Source organism: Homo sapiens, chromosome 13 (genome assembly GCF_000001405.40).
Source record: "Homo sapiens chromosome 13, GRCh38.p14 Primary Assembly".
NCBI classification, from domain to species: Eukaryota; Metazoa; Chordata; class Mammalia; order Primates; family Hominidae; genus Homo; species Homo sapiens.
This window is the reverse complement of record NC_000013.11, coordinates 92,336,145-92,356,467: the sequence shown is the minus strand read 5'-3', so window position 1 is coordinate 92,356,467 and position 20,323 is coordinate 92,336,145. Positions and strand designations below refer to the sequence as shown.

At 33.4% G+C, this 20,323-nt stretch overlaps 1 protein-coding gene and 1 long non-coding RNA gene across 3 annotated transcripts in view; one reads left to right on the top strand and one right to left on the bottom strand.

The window, feature by feature from the left end:
- GPC5 (glypican 5) overlaps window positions 1-20,323 on the bottom strand; it is a 1,468,617-nt gene that overhangs the window by 510,770 nt on the left and 937,524 nt on the right. The gene's annotated exons all lie outside the window — the stretch shown is intronic.
- GPC5-AS2 (GPC5 antisense RNA 2) lies at window positions 4,261-16,674 on the top strand. Its single transcript, NR_120382.1, has 3 exons — window positions 4,261-4,430; window positions 13,846-13,896; window positions 16,481-16,674. It is a non-coding gene; the product is annotated as a GPC5 antisense RNA 2 (long non-coding RNA).

The following is a 20,323-nucleotide window of genomic DNA, read 5'->3' as shown; positions in this document are numbered from 1 at the left end:
AATATGTAAATAACTTCTTAACTGGTTTTTCTGTTTCGACTTTTGCTACTCTGGAGCCAAATACTGCAATAGCACTGCATAAAAGCCAACAATAGCTCTAATTTTAACTCTGAGTTAAAGCTAAAGAACTTAATAGGGCCGACAATGCCCACTTGGTCTAGGTTTCCCTCCTCCTACTCTTATTTCCCACATCTCTTTCTCTGGTTCATTCCTCTCCCGCCACCCTGGACACCTTGCTATTTTGGTCATGTTATGGACTAAGTGTGTGTGTTCTCAATAACATTTGTGAAATAAATAAACAAACAAATAAATTAAATTGTTAATACATTAGGAGTACACTGGATAGTTCTGGCCAGGTAGGACTTTGGAAACGAGCAGGGAAGTTATCCCCTGTGAGAGAAAGAAAAGGCCAGTGGTAGAGAATCTAAAATAGGGTAAAAGTTTTGCCAAATAGAAATGATGATGGGAAAGAGGGTCAAAGGAGTTTGTATATTCAGGGTAGTGATCATAAAGAGACGATGTGAGTCTAAGTAAAATAATGAGGAAAACGAGGAAAGCAATTTAGCAAAAAAAAAAAAAAAAAAATGATAGGGTCAATGAATGATAGATTCTAGAGGAATCAAATAATAGTTTCATTGACAGTATTAGACATAGAATGAAGGAGGTGGTGAGTAGTGAGCGGGTGCTTGAAATTGAAATTTGGGGTATGGGTCTTATTGGTAATGACAAAATCTAACATATGCCCATGCAGTGGATGGTTGATGTTAATGGGGGACAAGAAATAAAGAAGTCAGCATGTTGAATTCATTATGTAGGTAGGTATTGAAATCATCAAAAAAGGAATATAAATTATTTTAGAGAGAAATACAGCAAGGCAGGTATCAAAATCTTCAATAAATAAAGGGGAAAAACAGGGAGCATGGGGATCACTGTAAAAATGAGGGGAACATATGATATAATTTGATGGCATGTGCCCCACAGAGGCTCAATGGTGTGTAAGCAGCAATGCAAATCAAGAAGGAATGCTCCCTCTCCAGGCTGGTGGTTGGGAAGACAAGGGCGATAAAGCCAGAGTCTGCAGGGGGAGCAGTGTCCTTAGGTTTTAATACTGCAGATTCAGATGAGGTTTCCTCAGATAACTTAAAATATAATAAGGTTATGGAGCTCTTTTTTTTTTTAGCTTTATATAAACTATTTTCTTCATTGAGTATTGAATTTTGATTTTCCAGTCCTCAAAATCCAGTTATAATGAAAACAAACCACAAAACCTCCAAGAGAACTTAAATTATTAATGAGAATAATTTTTCTTCAAATAGATAAAATATATACATCTATGTATACATATATACTAATTTCATTAATAACAGATTTTTATAACATTTAGGCATAGAGCTAATCTGCATAATTAAATATTATGCTAATCTGCATATTATGCAGATTATTAAATATTAAATTAAAGCTAATTTAATATTAAATTATATATTAAAGCTAATATGCATAAATCCTACTTCAATCTATTAATTGCTCCTCAAGGAGGTAACTCAATTCCATCTCCCTTCATCATCAGTCACTTCTCTTACTCTACTCCTCTCCAGTTGAATACCACCCCCTCTTTTACAGAAAATGTTCACTGGCACTCTAAGACTATTTTCAGGCTAGGACCTCTGCATGAGTATTACTTATGCCTGGAATGCTCTTCCCCCATTTTTTGCATGGCTGGCTTTTGTGAGTCAGATCTCAGCTTAAATCCCATCTCATCGGTTATGATTCTCTGACCTCCCAGAATACAGTAGCTTCCCAATTCATTCAGTGTTATGCACTCTTTTGAATCTTACCAGTATCTAGTTTTATATGTTTGTTTACTTATTTAGTTCTTGCTCTAGCCATTAGAAAGAATCGCCAGCATCAATGACTAGAATACTTCTAGCTACATAGTAAATTCTCTGTAATACTTGATGAATTAAGGAATAAATTACGAATGTTAGTCTAAAATTGTGCAAAATGGGTTTTTGTCTCATTACTACTGTTGATTAGTCAAAATTATCAAAATAATCTATTTCACCTGTTAGTAACTGATAACATGGGAAAAGGAGCAAAACTTGTGGTAACATGCTTTCAACTATTTTTAAAATAAGTTGTATGAATCTTAGTTATATTACTGTTGTTGTATCAATAGGAAGTAGCAATTATAAAGAATCCATGATTTAATATGAAATAGCGTGATTTCTTTGTGGAAAAGTATATCAGTACAACTTGTTATCAGAATTACTTGTCAAGTTATAGAGCAAAAGCTTTACAGCCTACAAGTTCAGGGCACATATGACTTTGTAATCACCACATGATGACTTGCGTTTTGACAAGGTCAAACATAAAATATGTGTTAAAATGTTGGTAACAAGACTTATTAATAGAATGCATGGAAAAAGTGGCAAAGACAGATTTATTAACTTTATTCCTGTGAACATTAGGCATATAACAACTTCTAAAAAACTACTGTTACAAAAAAGACACGTATTTCAATTCAAAACAGCTAACTTCTCTTAGTTGTGCATGGTGTAAATTTTGAACATTTTTATTAATTAATTCATGTTCTATAGAAATAAATTTTAAGTAATTTCAAAATGCCTTAATAGGTTTTGGAATAGAATAGAGAATCATTTATTACCAGATGTTTAGTGGTAAGATAATAAAGTCAACATTTAGCCATCCCCTAAAATTGCTAAGGCTGTAATCATTTATTTTTGAACCTCAAAAACCAATCATTGAAATAATCTTAAACTTTTGTGCATGATATATTCTGGTTATTTGTTTATATATAGTCTGCTTTATATTTATTTACTTAGTAATTTTTAATAATAACTTTTGCTCCATAAATCTACCACTCAAAAAGAAAAGTTAAAACAAACCAAAAGCTTCCTTTCAATCTTACCTCTCCATTTTATAATCTGAGACAAATTGAGAATCTTTCCATTCCCATGCTTGTCCTTTCCTTACTTTCTTTATAGTCAGGTATTACTTTATATGAAAGATTTCATGATGCATGCAATCTTTAGGAACATACTTTTTCTATATTTTTCAAGATAAATCCATGTTGTTGTGTACCATTATATTTCTTTCAAAACTCGTATCATCGTATGACTATCTGGCAGTTACTTCATCAAGTCTCCCACTGATACACATTTCTTTTTTTTTTTTTTTTTTGAGACGGAGTCTCGCTCTGTCGCCCAGGCCAGACTGCGGACTGCAGTGGCGCAATCTCGGCTCACTGCAAGCTCCGCTTCCCGGGTTCACGCCATTCTTCTGCCTCAGCCTCCCCAGTAGCTGGGACTACAGGCGCCCGCCACCGCGCCTGGCTAATTTTTTGTATTTTTAGTAGAGACGGGGTTTCACCTTGTTAGCCAGGATGGTCTCGATCTCCTGACCTCATGATCCACCCGCCTCGGCCTCCCAAAGTGCTGGGATTACAGGCGTGAGCCACCGCGCCCGGCCTGATACACATTTCAATTGTTTCTAGACTTTTGCTATTGTGAACAGCACCACCATCAATATTATTTTTTCCATTATCCTTCACTCTTATTTTGCAAACAGGTGTACATGGGCAGGTGTTGCTCTTGGATATATACCAAATATGGCTGGGTTTTCAAGTGCATAAATATTTTAATTTTGATTGTTTAGAAAATAAAACTATTTTCAAAACTGGTTTACTAATGTATACTTCCACCAGTGATATATCAAGACACCATAGATACACATCTTCTCCAACATTGTTATTCCAGACTTAATATTCTTGGTGATACAATAGGTGGAAAATGGCATCAGAGGGCTATCTTGATTGGAATCTTCATGATCAGTAATGTTATTGCCTATCATATGTTTATTGACCACATGTGTTTTTATTTCTGCAAAATATCTACTTATGTCTTTTGGCAGTTTTCCATTGAATTATTAGCATTTCCTTATTCATTTTTAAGAGTTCTTTATGTGTTCTTAACACCAATACTTTTCTAGTTGTGTACAATTATCCAAGTTTGTAACCTAGCTTCTTGCTTAGTTTATGATAACATTTTAAGAATTAATTCTCTTAATATAATTAAACACAACATTTCCTGTTATAACCAACCTTTTATGAATAACACGTATTACTTGAGTCTAATAGATGTTCATTTATATTTTTAGCCACGTTTTTTGACATTTTTACATAAATGATTAATTTTTTGTGTCAATATATGAGTTATTCAATTTTTTTCATATGTTTTTCAGGTTCATTTGTGGAATAGCCCCTTCTCTGTGGCATTGATATGGCATGCCAATTTTGTCATATAATGAGGTTCCACACAAGCATGGTTCTGTTTCTCAGCATTCTGACTGTTTCTGCACCTATGCCACACTGAATAACCAAAGCTCAAGAGTTAAGTCATCTGGTTTAACAGGTATCTCATCACTTCTTTTCTTCTGAGCATCTTATATATTCTTTGTTCTTTACTCTTCCACAAAAACCTTAAAATCACATTCTTGAGTTTTATAAATAATTACTTCGGAATTTTGATTGGAACAACACTGATCAATTTAGAAAGAATCATTATTTCACACTATTGTCATCTTGCCCATGAACGTGATACGTCTTAATTGGTTCCTCTAATTCGTATCATTTTCTCTGTATTTTTTACATCATATATTTATTCTTAGATACTTGATATTCTCTCATACAATTTTAAGTTATATATTATCTTTAATTAAACTTTCTAGTTTGCTGCCTTTGTATAGAAATGCAACTGAAATTTCTGTACTAATTGTCTCTATGCATCAATTTTTATCTACAACCTTGTTAAACACTTGTATTATATCAAATAATTTGTAGGTGGATTCTTTTTTGTTTTGTATGTAAATAACATCATATGGAAAAATAACTTTTTTTTCTCAATTACAATCCTTATATTCTTATCTTCATCTTGGTATTGCCTGAGGTAGGGCCTTGAAACAATGTTGAACAGAAATGTTCATTGTGGACTTCATAACTTTGTTTCTGTCTTTAAAAATATTGCTTCCAATATTTTAATATTAAATGTAATTTTATTCCATATTTTTAATAAATATGCATTAAGTAGAAATCGATTCTGATAAATTGTGTTATTTCAAAAGTGTATCAATTTTACCTAATTTTTAAAAATTATATATACTATTCCCATACTATCACTAAAATCTCTACTTTGTATGTAGTTAGTATCTTTTCATTTGTACGTTTGTTATTTATTTTTTGTCTTTTCCTGATGATCTGAATAGAAAAACGTATATTTTGTTAGGGTTTTTAAAATATTTTAAAATAAGTAATATATTATTGAAATAGAAAATAAAAACTGATTTAAAAATATTAACCAAGTACAAAATTTTTTCATTGTGGATATTTGTGCAGCAAAGCTTCTGAAGACTTGTAGGCTAGAGAAGAGTGGCTATATGACTTTATACTGAAATAGTCTTTTTTGTATACAATTTTAACTTCTGTTACTTTCATCAAAACTTTCAAGTTATTACACCATTGCCTTGTTTCCAGTGTTTGTGTTGAGAAATTTGATATCTATATTTTTATTCCTTTATAAGTGACTTATTGTCTCTCTAAACTTTTTGAATTGTCTTGGTCTTTTAAAAACTATTTTATTGTAAATTGACAATTTATAACATATATTTATGGAGTAAAAAGTCATGTGATGATTTATATATACAACGTGTAATAAAATTAAGCTAATTAATATACTTATGCTCTCAAACACATCAATTGTGTGGTGAGAACTTTCGAAATTGACTCTTAGCAATTTTCAAATTACAGTACATTATTTTCAACTATATTCACCATGCTGTGCAATAGATCTGAGCAAACAAGAACTTCCTTCTGTCTGAGATTTTGGGCCATTTGACCATAATCTCGCTATTCTTCCCAGCCTCCAATCTCTGTAACTATCTTTGTGCTCTCTGCTTCTATGAGTTCAACTGTTTTAGATTCTACACGTAAGGGAGAACATGTATTTGCCTTTCTGTGCCTACCTTGTTTTACTTAGCATAATTCATTTATTTCTCTATTGACTAATTGTTCTAGTAAGGACTTTCAATACTATGTTGAATAGGAGTGGTGAAAGTGGACATCCTCATCTTGTTCCAGATCTTAAAGGAAAGCTTTCCAATTTTTTACCATTGAGTACAGTGTTAGCTGTGGACTTCTCATATATGGCCTTAAATGTGTTCAGGTACACTCTTTCTATACTAAATTTGGTGAGAGTTTTTATCATGAAAGAATGTTGAATTTTGTCAAGTGCTTTTTTCTGCATCTAATAAGAGAATTATATGGTTTTTGTCTTTCATTCTGTTAATGTGATGTATCACAGTTACTGATTTACTTATGTTGAAGCTTCCTGTGTCTCGAGAGAAACACCACTTGATCATGATGGATGATCCCTTTAATGTGTTGATAAATTCAGCTTGCTAGAATATAATGGAGGATTTTTATGTCTATGTTCATCAAGGATATTGGCCTGTAGTTTTATTTTCTTGTAATGTCCTTGTCTGACTTTGGTATCAGGGTAATGGTGACTTGATAAATGAGCTAAAGAAAGAGTCCCTCCTCTTCAATTTTTGGGAAGGCTTTGAGAATTAGTACTAGTTCTTTAAAAAATAGGTAGAATTCAACCATAAGCCATCAGGTCTTGGGTTTTTCTTCGATGGGAAAATTTTTATTACTGATTCAATCTCCTTACTTCTTATTGGTCATTTCAGATTTTTTATTTCTGCATGATTCAATCTTGGTAGGTTGTATATGCCTAGGAGTATATTCATTTCTTCTGGGTTATCCAATTTGTCGCTATATATTTATAATAGTTGCTTATGATTCTATTATGTGGTATCAGTTCTAATGTCTCTGATTTCACCTCAGATTTTATTTACTTGAGTCTTTTTTCTCGTTAATACAGCTAAAGGTTTGTTCATTTTGTTTGTGTTTAAAAATAAATTAATTAAAAAAAAAAAAAAGAAAAAACCTGGCTGGGTGCGGGGCTAACACCTGTAATCCTAGCACTTTGGGAGGCCAAGGCGGGCAAATCACCTGAGGTCGGGAGTTCAAGACCAGCCTGACCAACATGGAGAAACCCTATCTCTACTAAAAATATAAAACATTAGCCAGCTGTCATGGCGCATGCCTGTGATCCCAGCTACTTGGGAGGCTGAGATAGGAGAATTGCTTGAACCTGGGAGGTGGAGGTTGCAGTGAGCCGAGATCGTGCCATCGCACTCCAGCCTGGGCAACAAGAGTGAAACTCCATCTCAAATTAAATTAAATTACATTAAAATTTTTAAAAACCTGACGCTTAGTTTCATTAATCTTTTGTATTGTTTTGCTAGTCTCCATTTCATTAACTTCTACTCCAATCTTTATTATTTCCTTCCTTCCCCTATCTTTGTGTTTAGTTTTTCTCTGGCTGCTTGATGAGTAAGATTAATTGTTTGAAATCTGGGTTTTTTTTAGGTAAACATTTATTGTTATAAACGTTCCTCTTAGAACTTCTTTTGCTGTATTCCATAAGTTTTGGCATGTTGTGTTTCCACTTTTGTTTGTCTCAAGATATTTTTAAATTATTGTTTTAAAAATTGTATTGACCCATTAGTTGTTCAGGAGCATGCTGTTTAATTTATATGTATTTGTGAGTTTTTTGAAATTCCTCATTATTGATTTCTAGTTTTATACCATTGTGGGTCAGAGAAGATTCTTGCTATAATTTCAGACTTCTTGAGAAAACTCAGGCTTTTGTCATAACAGGTGATCTACCCTGGAGAATGTTCTCTGTGTGCTTGAGAATATTGTGTATGCTGTTGCTATTGGATGGAATGTTCTGTTTATGTCTGTTAGGTCCATTTGATCTAATATGTTGTTCATGTCGATGTTTTCTTATTAATTTTCTGTATGAATAATCAGTCCATTGTTAAAAGTGATATATTAAAGTCTCTTACTATTATTGTATGGCAATCCCTCTCTCTCAAAATCATTTCATATTTGTTTTATATTTTTAGGTGCTCCAATGTTGAGTATATGTATACTTACTATTATTATATCCTCTTGATAAATTGACCCCTTTATTATCATATGATGTTCTTATGCGTCTCCTATTTCAGTTTTTGAGCTTTTCTTTTTGTTTTCATTTGCATGGAATATCTTTTTCCATCCCTTTATTTTCAGTCTGTGTGTGTCCTAAAATACAAGGTGAGGCTCTTACAGCCAGCAAATAGTTGGGGCTTTTTTATCCTTTCAGTTACTTTCTTTTTTGGAGAATTTAATGCATTTATATTCAAGGTAATTATTGATAGACAAGGACTTACTGTTACCATTTTCTTAATTGTTTTCTGGTTGTTTTGTAGATACTTTGTTTCTGCCTCTTATGCTGTCTTCCTTTATGTATTGATTTTTTTTTTTTTAAGAAGTGGTATGCTTTGACCTTTCCAATTTTTTGTCCTAATAATTTTTGCTTTGTGTTTCTCATGAGGTTTACATATAAGATGTATATATAATATATATATATTATATATATATTATATATATAATATATATAATATATATTATATATATAATATATATATGTATAAAACAGCCTATTTCAAGCTGATAAAACTTAACTTGCATACAACTCCACACTTTTGCTCCTCCCACACACATTTTATGTTACTGAGGTCAGAATTTACATCACTTTGTAATGTGTGTCCCTTGACGATTTATTTCAGCTATAGTTTTAATAGTTTTGCCTTTTAATTCTTGTACCAGGGATAAAATTACCTGTGATCATTACAGTACTTCAGTATTCTGAATATGGCTCTGCTTTACTTATACCACTGAGCTTTGTAGTTTCATATGTATCATTATTAATTTGTAGCTTTTTGTTTCAGCTTAAAGAAGTCCTTTTAGCAACTCTTACAAGACTGGCGTAATGGTTATGACATCCCTTTGCTTTCATTTTTCTGGGAAAGTTTCTATTTCTTCCTCATTCCTAAAAGACCAATTTTCTGATTAAAGTATTTTTGGTTAAAAGCTTGTGTTTCTTCAGCACTTTGAATATGTCATCCCACTCTTTCCTGGCCTGCAGTGTTTCTCCTGAGAAATCTGCTGATAGTGACACTTCTTTGTATGTGATGAGTTTCTTATTTGTTGCTGCTCCAGAATTTTTTGTCTTTGATTTTTGGTAGTTTGATTATTATGTGTCTTGATTAACACCTCTTTCAGTTGTATTTGAGTGAAGACTTCTGTGCTTCCTACACCTGGATGTTGGCATCTGTTCACAGAATATGGAAGTTTTTTTTAGCCCTTATTTCTTTAAATATGCTCTATGGACCTTGTTCTCTTTATTCACCTTCTGCAACTTCTATTGTGTAAGTTTGGTCTCTTCATGGTGTCCCATAATTCCTGTAGGATTTCGTTACATTTTTTCATTCTTTTGTCTTTTGGCTCCTTTGATTGAATAATTGTAAATTTTGTTTTCCAGCTCACTGATTTTTTTCTGCTGCTTAATCACATCTTCTGTTGAATCTATTTAATTTTTCAGTTCAATCATTGCATTCCTCATCTCTGGGATTTCTATTTTTTAAAATTGTTTCTATTTTGTTGTAAAGCTCACTTTGTGAGTTGTCTTCCAAATTTTACTTGATTTTTTTATCCATATATTCTTATAGTTTACTGAACTTCTTTAGGAAGAATATTTGGAATTGTCAGTCATTGCAGAGATCTCCATTTCTTTAGGGCCCATTATTGGAGCTTTATTAGTTTCCCTTGAAGTGTAATGATTCCCTAATTCTTCATAATCCTTGTGTGCTTGCATTGTTTTCTGTGAATTTGAGGAGACGGCCTCCTCTTCTGATCTTTTTAAGTGTTATTTGGCAGGAATAGACCCTTGCTATTTAAACTAGCCAGTGACTCTGGAAAGGCCAGTTGGTGACAATCCCAGGCAGGCAGATCTTGTTATGTGTTCTCTAATTCATGGGGTCACTGACTTTGCTGTAATGTCAGGTGGGGCTGCTAGCTGAGTTCTGCCATCCAGAATTGCTGGCAAGATTCTGCTGTCAGGAAGAGCTGCTGGCTGGATACTGCTTTCCCTTCTATTCAGGCTAGGAAGCAGATGTATTTCCTGGCCAGGAAATTCTACTGTATGGGATCTGCAGTTGAGCAGGGCTAAGGGCTGTGCTCTGAGATTAGTCAGTCACTGCTTGGGACAGGCAGGATCAGAAGCTATGCTCCTTGGAAATACATGACTGAGGATTGCCTCTCACTCAGATGGAGGCCTGTGGTGAGCTTTTGGCTGAGTGGCCATTTGATGGCTCAGGTCAAGCAGGTCTAGCCTCTATACTTCCCCAAAATGTATGGGGGTGGGAGTGTCCCTGCCTGGGCAGGGTCATTAGGTCATGCTCTGAGGCAAAGTATGGAGATTAGCTATCTAGAGACTCAAAGTAAAATGAACTTCTTACCTTACTTATGAAGGCAATCAGCTCAGTTTTAAAGAGTGGTTATAAAGTCAGCTGGTATCACTGATTGAGCTGTCAAGAACACAAAAATACCAGCGAGATCTGTAGGCTGGTCACTAAGAGCTCTACCTCCTTTGTTTCTATCTGACCTCAGGCAGTTTAGGTATGCCTTTAGCCCCATTGTTCCCCATGAGTTGAGACTGAAGTGGGCTTTCTGGGAAGTGTCTCAGAATGCTAGGGAAGATTGGATGCCTCCAGTTTTCTTTCCCCCAATGTAGAAACTGTGGGCCCAGGGAAATCCTCTGTCTGGCATTGTGCTGACTTCAGAGGGGATGAAGGACAGCATCATAGTGAGGTAATTCCTACTCATCTAATTTATTTTCATTCAGTTCCACAAATGACGTGGGTGTCTCAAGATAGTTGCCAAGTATCAAGGTTTTCAAAAAGATGCGTGGTTTTTATATAGTTGCTAGCTATACTTTCTGTGGGTGTTGGGTGGCATGGGGGATTGGGGCAGTTGGTAGAGATTGCAGCCCAAGACTTCCTATTCTTCTATTTTGCTGATGTCATCTCCATTTCTTTCTCTTTTAAATGCTACTACTATGTGTGGGTTGTTAGTTATTTTTTCTCTTTCATACATTAGAAAGTATACTTTATATTACGTACATTCAATCTGTCTTTTATATTTTTAAATGCCAGAACAGTCATTATGATTACTTTTCACATAGTTCTTCCTCACAATTTTACTTCTCTTTCTGTGATCTTTTGAAATATTTCTTTGGTCTTGTTTTTTGATTTGCTTATTTTGTTATATTACTATGATATTCTGAATTTATTGAATGTTTCATGGATCATAATTATTCTGGTAACTCCTCATGCACTTTTAATATTACTAACATTTTTCTCTTGATATATTATGCTGTTGTATTTTTATTATGCTAGTTCAAAAGTACTGGTCCATCTGTTCTTACAGTTGTGTTTCTGAGGAAATCAGTAATCCATCATATTGCTTTTCTTTTGAAATCAATGATATTCTCTTCAAATGTCTCATGATTTTGACCTGTTTACTCATATTCTCATATCATATAATCAGTCAGCTAATATATGAAAAAAGACCAAACTTCAGTCTTTGGGAAGAAAAATGCATTTAGTGAATAGTTGTTGTAATCAAAAGTTTGACTATGGAAAACTTTTAAGACTCACCCCTATTTCTGCCCCACATTGTTGCAAGCTGTTGAGAGAGCCTGATGCTTTCTCCTCTGGTGCTGGCAGGAGGTTCAAAACTACGTAAGACCCTGCCTGCAGTTGTGAACCTCACTTTGACCACTCCCCAAAACTACCATAAAAATTCCAAACCAGTATTTTTCCTTTTATCAGTCATTTTTGGACCAAATTAGGAAGACTGTCCTGCTCTCCCATAAATCCTCATTCAGTAATAAGCCTGTTTACATAATTTTGGTGTATGTATAGAATCATCAGTCTTCTCATCTGAACCAAATTTTGGGTGAAGTCCTTCTAATTCTGCAGGGTGGCCTTCTAATTCTGCAGTGATAGATGATGATATGGTTTAGCTGTGTCCCCGCCCAAATCTCATCTTGACTTGCAGTTCCCATAATCCCTGCATGTCGTGGGAGGGACTTGATGGGAGGTAATTGAATCATGGGGTGGTTACTCCCATGTCGTTCTCATGATAGTGAGTTCTCAGGAGAGCTGATGGTTTTATAAAGGGGTTTCCCCTCTTTACTTGGCATTTCTCCTTCCTCCTGCCATGTGAAGAAGGGTGTGTTTGCTTCCCCTTCTGCCATGATTATAGGTTTCCTGAGGCTTTCCCAGTCATGTGGAACTGTGAGTCAATTAAACCTCTTTTCTTTATAAATTACCCAGTCTCAGGTATTTCTAGAAACCTTAGAAGGAAATTCTTCTTAGATTCTAACCTCCCCACTCCCCAAATGTTGAGGTTTGAAGCAGGCTGGGCAGGAAAACAACAATTAAAAATTATTCCTCATTATCTATTATCTCAGTTCCCAAAAAACAGGCTTCCACCATTTGTCCCAAAATAATGAAACAGAGAAGACAATAGATTAGAGAAGATAGGAATGGATAATAAGATATGCCCTGAAAACTTTTTGATATGGAAGGAAATCAAATGTTTCAAATTAATTTTATAAATAATAGGTTTTAACAGAATATAAAAATCCCACTATATTTTATTTATATTAATTTATGAAGATTATGCTGATCAGTTCAAATGTTGGAACTGTGATTTTGAAACCACTAGTATTTTATTGAAATGTGGTTAGAGTTAGAAAAAATTATTGAAAATTTAATTTTATAAAAATTATGCTAAGCTCTGTCCACTTTAAAAATATAAGGCATTATTATAAATCAAGATAATTATATTATTATGTTTCAATACATTTCTGATTCATATCTAAATAGCCTAGTTTGCCTAGTTTGTCAAAAGCAGAATTTGAGAACTCACATAATGGAATAAGCAGCTGTAAGAAAAATAAAATAGTAATATACCATAAAGTGATTTCAGTTCCATTTCAGAGGAAGGGAAAATAAAAGGAGCAGTTTAAGGACAAAAATATTAGCACAACTACAAAATCAAACTGAAAGCATTATACGCTTTTTCATAATATAGGGCAATTGAATCTCACTTGCTCTTCCAAATTCTATCACTAATTTGCAATTTCCTGCCCTGCTGGCCTCCTGGGATGAAGGCACAGACATATTGATCTAACTGACGGTGAAGTATCACTTTGCAGTAACTGTCTAAGTGGTGTGGCAACACCCAGTGCTTTCTGATAACTACAAAGGAGGACACTACCAGACCTATCTTGTTATTTAGAAATAAGATAAATGTTTCTCTGTAAATGAAACAGAAAACAAATTATTGTTGCAAACTTCACATCTCACTATGGTATAGTTTCATGTATTATCTATTTAAATTATTTTAACGGAAATGGTAAATATACAAATATCTTAAGTTGTAGATGGTGAGGCAAAATATAAATTACTGAATAATGTCCTAATATATGAAAGGGAAGTGCATGGAGATATTTGTACATAAGTATGATAAAATAATATTTATAGATCTAAATAAATACACTGAAGAGAACTCTGAATCTCTGACCAAAGCTAAAGTAATACAAAGTGGTTATATGTTTTTGGATTTGTTAGAAATTAGAACATTATCTTAAAAACAATGAGAATTAATGAAAGTTTTTTAATCCAGAGGATGGAATTAAAATACTCATATTTTTCAAGGAATCATTTATGATTGTCTTAGACTATTTTGGCTACTGTAACAAAATACCTTAAATTTGGTAATTTAAAAAAGAAACTTATTTCTCACAGTTCTGGAGGCTGGGAAGTGCAAGACCAAGATATGAACAGATTCATTATCTGGTAAGAACCTGTTACTCATAGACGGTAACTTATGTGTGTCTTCATATGGAAGAAGAGGTGCACAAGCCTTCCCAGGTCTTTTTGATAAGGACACTAATCTCATTCATGAGGGCGGAGGACTCATGACTCAAACACCTCCCAAAGACCCCACATTCTTAATGCCACAATATTGGGGATGGGTTTAAACAATGAACTTCATACACAAACATTTAGACCGTAGCAGACATTGTGAACAATGTCCCCCAGTAGCCAGTTCATGGAAATGAGTTAGGAGGCTACTGCAATATTCCAGGGGAGAAACAGTGCTTTGTTGAAGGTAGAGTGAAGATTAAAAAGTAGAGCTCAGAGCAGTGGGCACCATGACCGAAAGCAGGCAACTGAATAGGTCAAAGTAGCTGCAAAGGTAAGAAGATGTGGCCTGATTTAGGAATCAAACAATTTGAAGTGATGAAAGTGACACTGGAAGTGTGTGGTGATGGTGAAGTAGAGGAAAAGATCATTGAAGGTATCAGGGAATTGAGAAGCCAATATATTAAACTAATCATCAAGGTAAAGAATGAAAACTTTAGGATAATAGTAAGGCAAATTATGAGCTTGTATGTCCTACGTAACAAAACAGTATTTCTTCTCAGAAACAATCTGCTCCAATTTCCCGTTTCATAATGGCATAAATTGTATTGTCCTTACATTTGACATTTTTATTGGTAAAGATTTCCCCCTCGATAAACGCAACAGCCTAGATTTTCTTAATATTTTATTGACTATACTACGTTTTTTATATTATGTAAATAACAATAAACCATTTTAATAAGTTTCACTATGTTGTCCTTGCTAATGCTGGTCTGGAACTCCTGGACTCAAGCAATTCTCCCTTCTCAACCTCCCAAATCACTGGGATTACAAGCATGAGCCACTGCACCTAGCTAAGTCTTTAATTAATAAAATTTTATTTTTTATACAAACTTTATTTTACTACATCAGCAACTCACCTCTTAATTATTCAATCAATATATTTTTGAAGAAAATTTACATTTTTTTCTGTAAAACAAGTTTCTAAAACTCTTATAGCATTACTTTGAAATTATTCACACAAATAATTTCATTTAATCTTATAGATTAATTTGTATGATATTGTCTTCTATAATCTTTATCTTACAATTTAAAAAAATCTTTGTGTCTCTCATATATCTCTTACCAAAAGTTGGAAGTTGACAATATATGATACAACAGTATGCCTTTAAAGATTAGTCCCAGTATAGATGGAACTAGTGACTAAATTTATTTTCTCCATACGTGCTTGATGAGATAAAGTTTATTGTGAAACACCAGAGTAAAGCCTCTAGAAGTCCTTTTTATTAGGAAAAATTTATGGAAATTTAATGATGCCTGTAATTTGATATTTTTAAACTATTTTATCAACTAATCTCTACTTGAGAATGTGGACATACTTTTTATTCAAACTTTCCTGAAACTAAAATAAAAATCATTATTTTCATCATGTTGCCAGCAAAGATTGCTTAAAATATGTCTATTACCAAATTTTAAAAAAAATGAAGATGGACTGTAGTAAGCAAATGCAATTTTGAAAACCACGTGTTAAAGAGAACTCCTTTGCTGCTTTAGTGGTTTATGAGAGAATAACGTTCATTAGATAATATTTTTGATTTTACAACCAATTGGCCTATCCGATGACACTAAATGCTATATAGTACAAAATATAAGGAGGCAAATGGTTTCATTATTTTATGCATAAAAACCGGATTGGGTTGTTATACCTGTTAGGTCTAAAAGCCAAATATTTAGGCTCTTTTAAAAGCTACAGCAGTGGTTTATTTTATAATCAATACAATCGTTTGTCTGATTTTTTATTTTATATCTTAACAGTTTCAAGTTCAGCCCTTTCAAAAATCAAAGAAAAAGCAATTAAAATGACATTGCTTAAAATATTAAGGGAATGTTTCCAAGTAAAAATTCTTAAAGTACTTGAAAATCCAAGACTATTTTCATTTTGTAACTATTTTCAAATGTATTTAACATTTAGGTTCAAAGCCAGGAGCAGTGGCAAAGCACCTGTTGTCCCAGCTACTTGAGAGGCTGGAGCTGGAAGATCACTTAAGGCCAAGAGTTCAAGACCAGCCCGGATGACATAGAGAGATTCCCATCTTTTTTAAAAAAGTTAGGTTCAGTCAGATTTCAGAAACTGAGAGTAGACACTCTAGGATTTGATTGCATTGACTTGCTTAATGTTCATTTTTGGCTTGGATCATGAATATAGTCTTTGGATAAAGGGTTACTTTCCCCAATTTGACTTGTTTTCATCATTGTATACCATGACTGTTTCCTTGAAAATAAACTACATAATTACCATTTTCATACAACTTTACTATGGAAATGTGTAATATGTAACTATTTCCTGATTGTGTCCTTAATTAATAATCCAGAATTCCATCTCTACTCAAACAACATCAAATACTAAGGCAGTATTAATTTTAGTAAAATATTTAAACATACATCTTAGTTTGCTATAAAAAGTGAACACTTAGCTACGTGCTCATTTTCATATATATGTTTTTTTTGTTCATAGGTACAGATACCCTGCATATTTTTGGCCTCATATGAAGAAAGAAATGTTTTTGAAAGTTTACGTGTGTGCATTTATCATCATAAATACATTTAATTCATTGTAAAGACATAGCAAGATAATCAGCTGTCTGATAATTATAAGGTGTTGATTAGAAAATAGGTACTTACTTTAAATAAAATTGTTATATTAAACTATCTGGCTTTACCTGCCCTTTAATGCCTTTTGAGAATGTCAAGATCTGCAGAAACATAGATTTATTGAAATTAATTCTAAAATAGCACAGCATTTGCAGTGGTTTTGGTAATTCTCTAGCTCAGATGTATAAGCTCAGATTTTTATATACATCCACAGAACATTTTTCATTGTGTAGGAGATCAAAGATTCTTAATCATACTACAGATTGGACACTGCTAGCTAATTGGGTAGTTATAATACTATTTAGTTCATTTCTTAATGGAAAGTTGGAATAAACATAGCAGAAGTGTAGTTAACGTTATAAAGCATGATTCTCTGTATATATTTCTCAATTTTGATGCGATAAGATGAGCCCGTCTTATCCAAAGCACTTAATGGCTTCTTAAATATATCCTTGATTACTCAAATACACAAGGCATTCTTATTGGAAACCTTATCAAAGTAAATATTCATAACTGGAAAACAATTCCCCAAAATTAACACATCACGACATAATAAAACATTTTGCCCTGAGGACTGTCTTTATTACCAGCAAGACAAGCATAAAGAAACATTGGAAAAAGAGAATGCTGTAATCAAATAGCATAATGTATATATTGTATATAATATATAATATAAATACATATGATACATATGTATGATATATGTATATTCTGGATTCACCTCTATGACCTGTTCTTTGACTAGAAATATTTTGAGATGATCTAGCTTATGTCAAGCCATCACTTAATACTTATTTTTTTAAGAATAGTTTTAGGTTACAGCAAAAATGGAGAGGAAGATACAGAGATTTCCCACATACCTCCTGCCTTCACACATGCATAGTCTCCCCCATTATCAACATCACACACTAAGTGCTACTTTTAATTGATGAATCTATATTGACATATCATAATCATGCAAAATCCAGAGTTTACGTTAGGATTTACTGTTGATATTGTACATTCTTTAGGTCTGCACAAATGTATAATAACATGTATCCACAATTAGGGCACTATGCAAAATGATTTCAGTTCCCTATAAATCATCTGTGCTCCATCTTTCATCCCTCCTGCTCCCCAACCTCTAGCAACCACTGATTGTTTTTTACTGTCACCACAATTCTGCCCTTCACAGAATCTCATATTGTGGGAATCACATGGTATATAACCTTTTAAGACTGGCTTCTTTCTTTTAATAATATGCCTGTAATGTTCTTTCCATGGCTTGACAGCTCATTTCTCTTCAGTGCTGAATAATATTCCATTGTAGGATGTACCACATTTATGTGTTTACCTACTGAAGAGCAACCTGGTTGCTTCCAGATTTTGTCAATTACAAATAAAGCTGCTGTAAATATCCATGTGCCAGTTTTCATGTGAATTCATTTGGGTACTGTGATTGCTGGAACATATAAGAGTATATTTAACTTTGTAAGAAACTGTAAGAAACTGTCTTCCAGAGTACCATTTTGCATTCCCAGCAACAATTATTGATAGTTCCTGTTGCTCCACATCCTTGCCAGCATTTGGTGTTTTGAATTTCGACCATTCTAATACGTATATATTGGTATTTTATGGTTGTTTTAATTTGCATTTGCCTGATGATCTAAAATGTGCAGCATATTTTATATGTTTATCTTTCATGAGGTGTCCTTTGAGGTCTTTGGCCAATTTTTTTCATCAGGTTGTATGTTTCCTTATTGTTGAGTTTTATGTATTTTTCTATCTTTGGGATAACAATCCTTTATCTGCTGTATCTTTTGCAATTATTTTCTACCAATTTATGCATTCACCTCTCATTCTTTTGTCATATTCTTTCACGGAGCAGAAGTTTTTAATTTTAATGAAGTCCAGCTTACCAGTTATTGCTTTCATAAATTGTGCCTTTGGTGGTATATCTAAAAAGCCTTTTCCATAACCAAGTTCAGCTAGAATTTTACCTAAGCTATCTTCTAAGAGTTTATAATTTTGCGTTTTACATTTAGGTCTATGGTCTATTTTGAGCAAATTTTTGTGAAGGGTGTAAAGTCTGTGTCTAGATTTTCTTTGTAAAATTTTGCATGTAAATCCAGTCGTTCCAGCATCATTTCTTGAAAAGACTATTTTGCACCATCGCATTTCCTTTGCTCCTTTGTCAAAATCAGTTGACTATATTCATGTGGGTCAATTTCTAGGCTCTGTATTCTGTTCCACTAATCCATTTGTCTATCATTCTTTCGTCAGTACCACACTGTCTTGATTACTGTGCTTGATAATATGTCTTGAAATCTGGTATTGTCAGTCTCCAACTTTGTTCTCTTTCAATATTCTCTCCTTTGTAATTCTCCTTCAATATGGCTACTGTGTACCCTTTGCCTCTCCATATAAACATTAGAATCATCCTGACAATATAAAATAGCTTGCTGTGATTTTCATTGGGATTGCACTGAATCGATCCAGTTGTGAAGAACTAACATCTTCACACTATTGAGTCTTCCTATTTATGAACATAGACTATCTCTCCATTTGTGTAGTTCTTCTTTGATTTCTTTTATCATAGTTTTGTTGTTTTCCTCAGATAGATCTTGAAGATATTTTGTTCAATGTGTACCTATTTCTTTTTTTTTTTTGGGTGGGGGGTGCTGCTAACATAAATGGCATTGTATTTTTTTATTTAAAATTACATTTGTTCACTAGAGCTATACAGGAAGGTGGTATCGTCTGACTGTGTCTCCACCCAAATCTCATCTTGAATTGGAGCTCCAAAAATACCCATGTGTCATGGGAAGGACCCAGTGGGAGATAACTGAATCATGAGGGTAGGTTTTTCCCATGCTGTTCTCATGATAGTGAATAAGTCTCATGAGATCCGTTGGTTTTATAAAAGGCAATTCCGCTATACATGCTTTCTTGTACATGCTGGAAGATCACTTGAGGCCAGGAGCTCAAGACCAGTCTGGGTGACATAGAGAGATTCCCATCTCTTTTTTAAAAATTAGATTCAGTCAGATTTCAGGAACCAGGAATAGATACTCTAGGTTTTGATTGCATTCACTTACTTAATGTTCATTTTTGGCTTATATTATGAACACAGTCTTTGAATGAAGGGTTACTTTCCACAATTTCACCTGTTTTCATCACTATATACCATTATGGTTTCCTTGAAAACAAACTACATAATTATCATTTTCATATAACTTTACTATGGAAATGTGTAATATGTAACTATTTCCTGATTGTGACCTTAATTAGTAAACAAAAATTCCATCTCTACTCAGACAACATCAAATACTAAGACAATATTAATCTTGGTAAAGTATTTAAAGATACATCTTAGTTTGCTACAAAATGTAAGCACTTAGCTAACATGTTAATTCTCATATGTTTTTGTTCATATGTACAAAAACCATGCATATTTTTGGCCTCATACAAATACAAAAATGTTTTTACAATGTATGTGTGTGTTCATTTAGCATCATAAATATATTTAATTCACTGTAAAGACATAGCCAAAAAAATTATCAGCTACCTGATAATTATAAGTTACTGATTAGAAAATATGTATTTACTTTAAATCAAATTGTTATACTAAAATACCTTGCTTTACCTGCCCTTTAATGCCTTCTGAGAATGTGAGATCTGTAGAAACATGGATTTATTGAAATTAATTCTAAAATAGCACATTTGC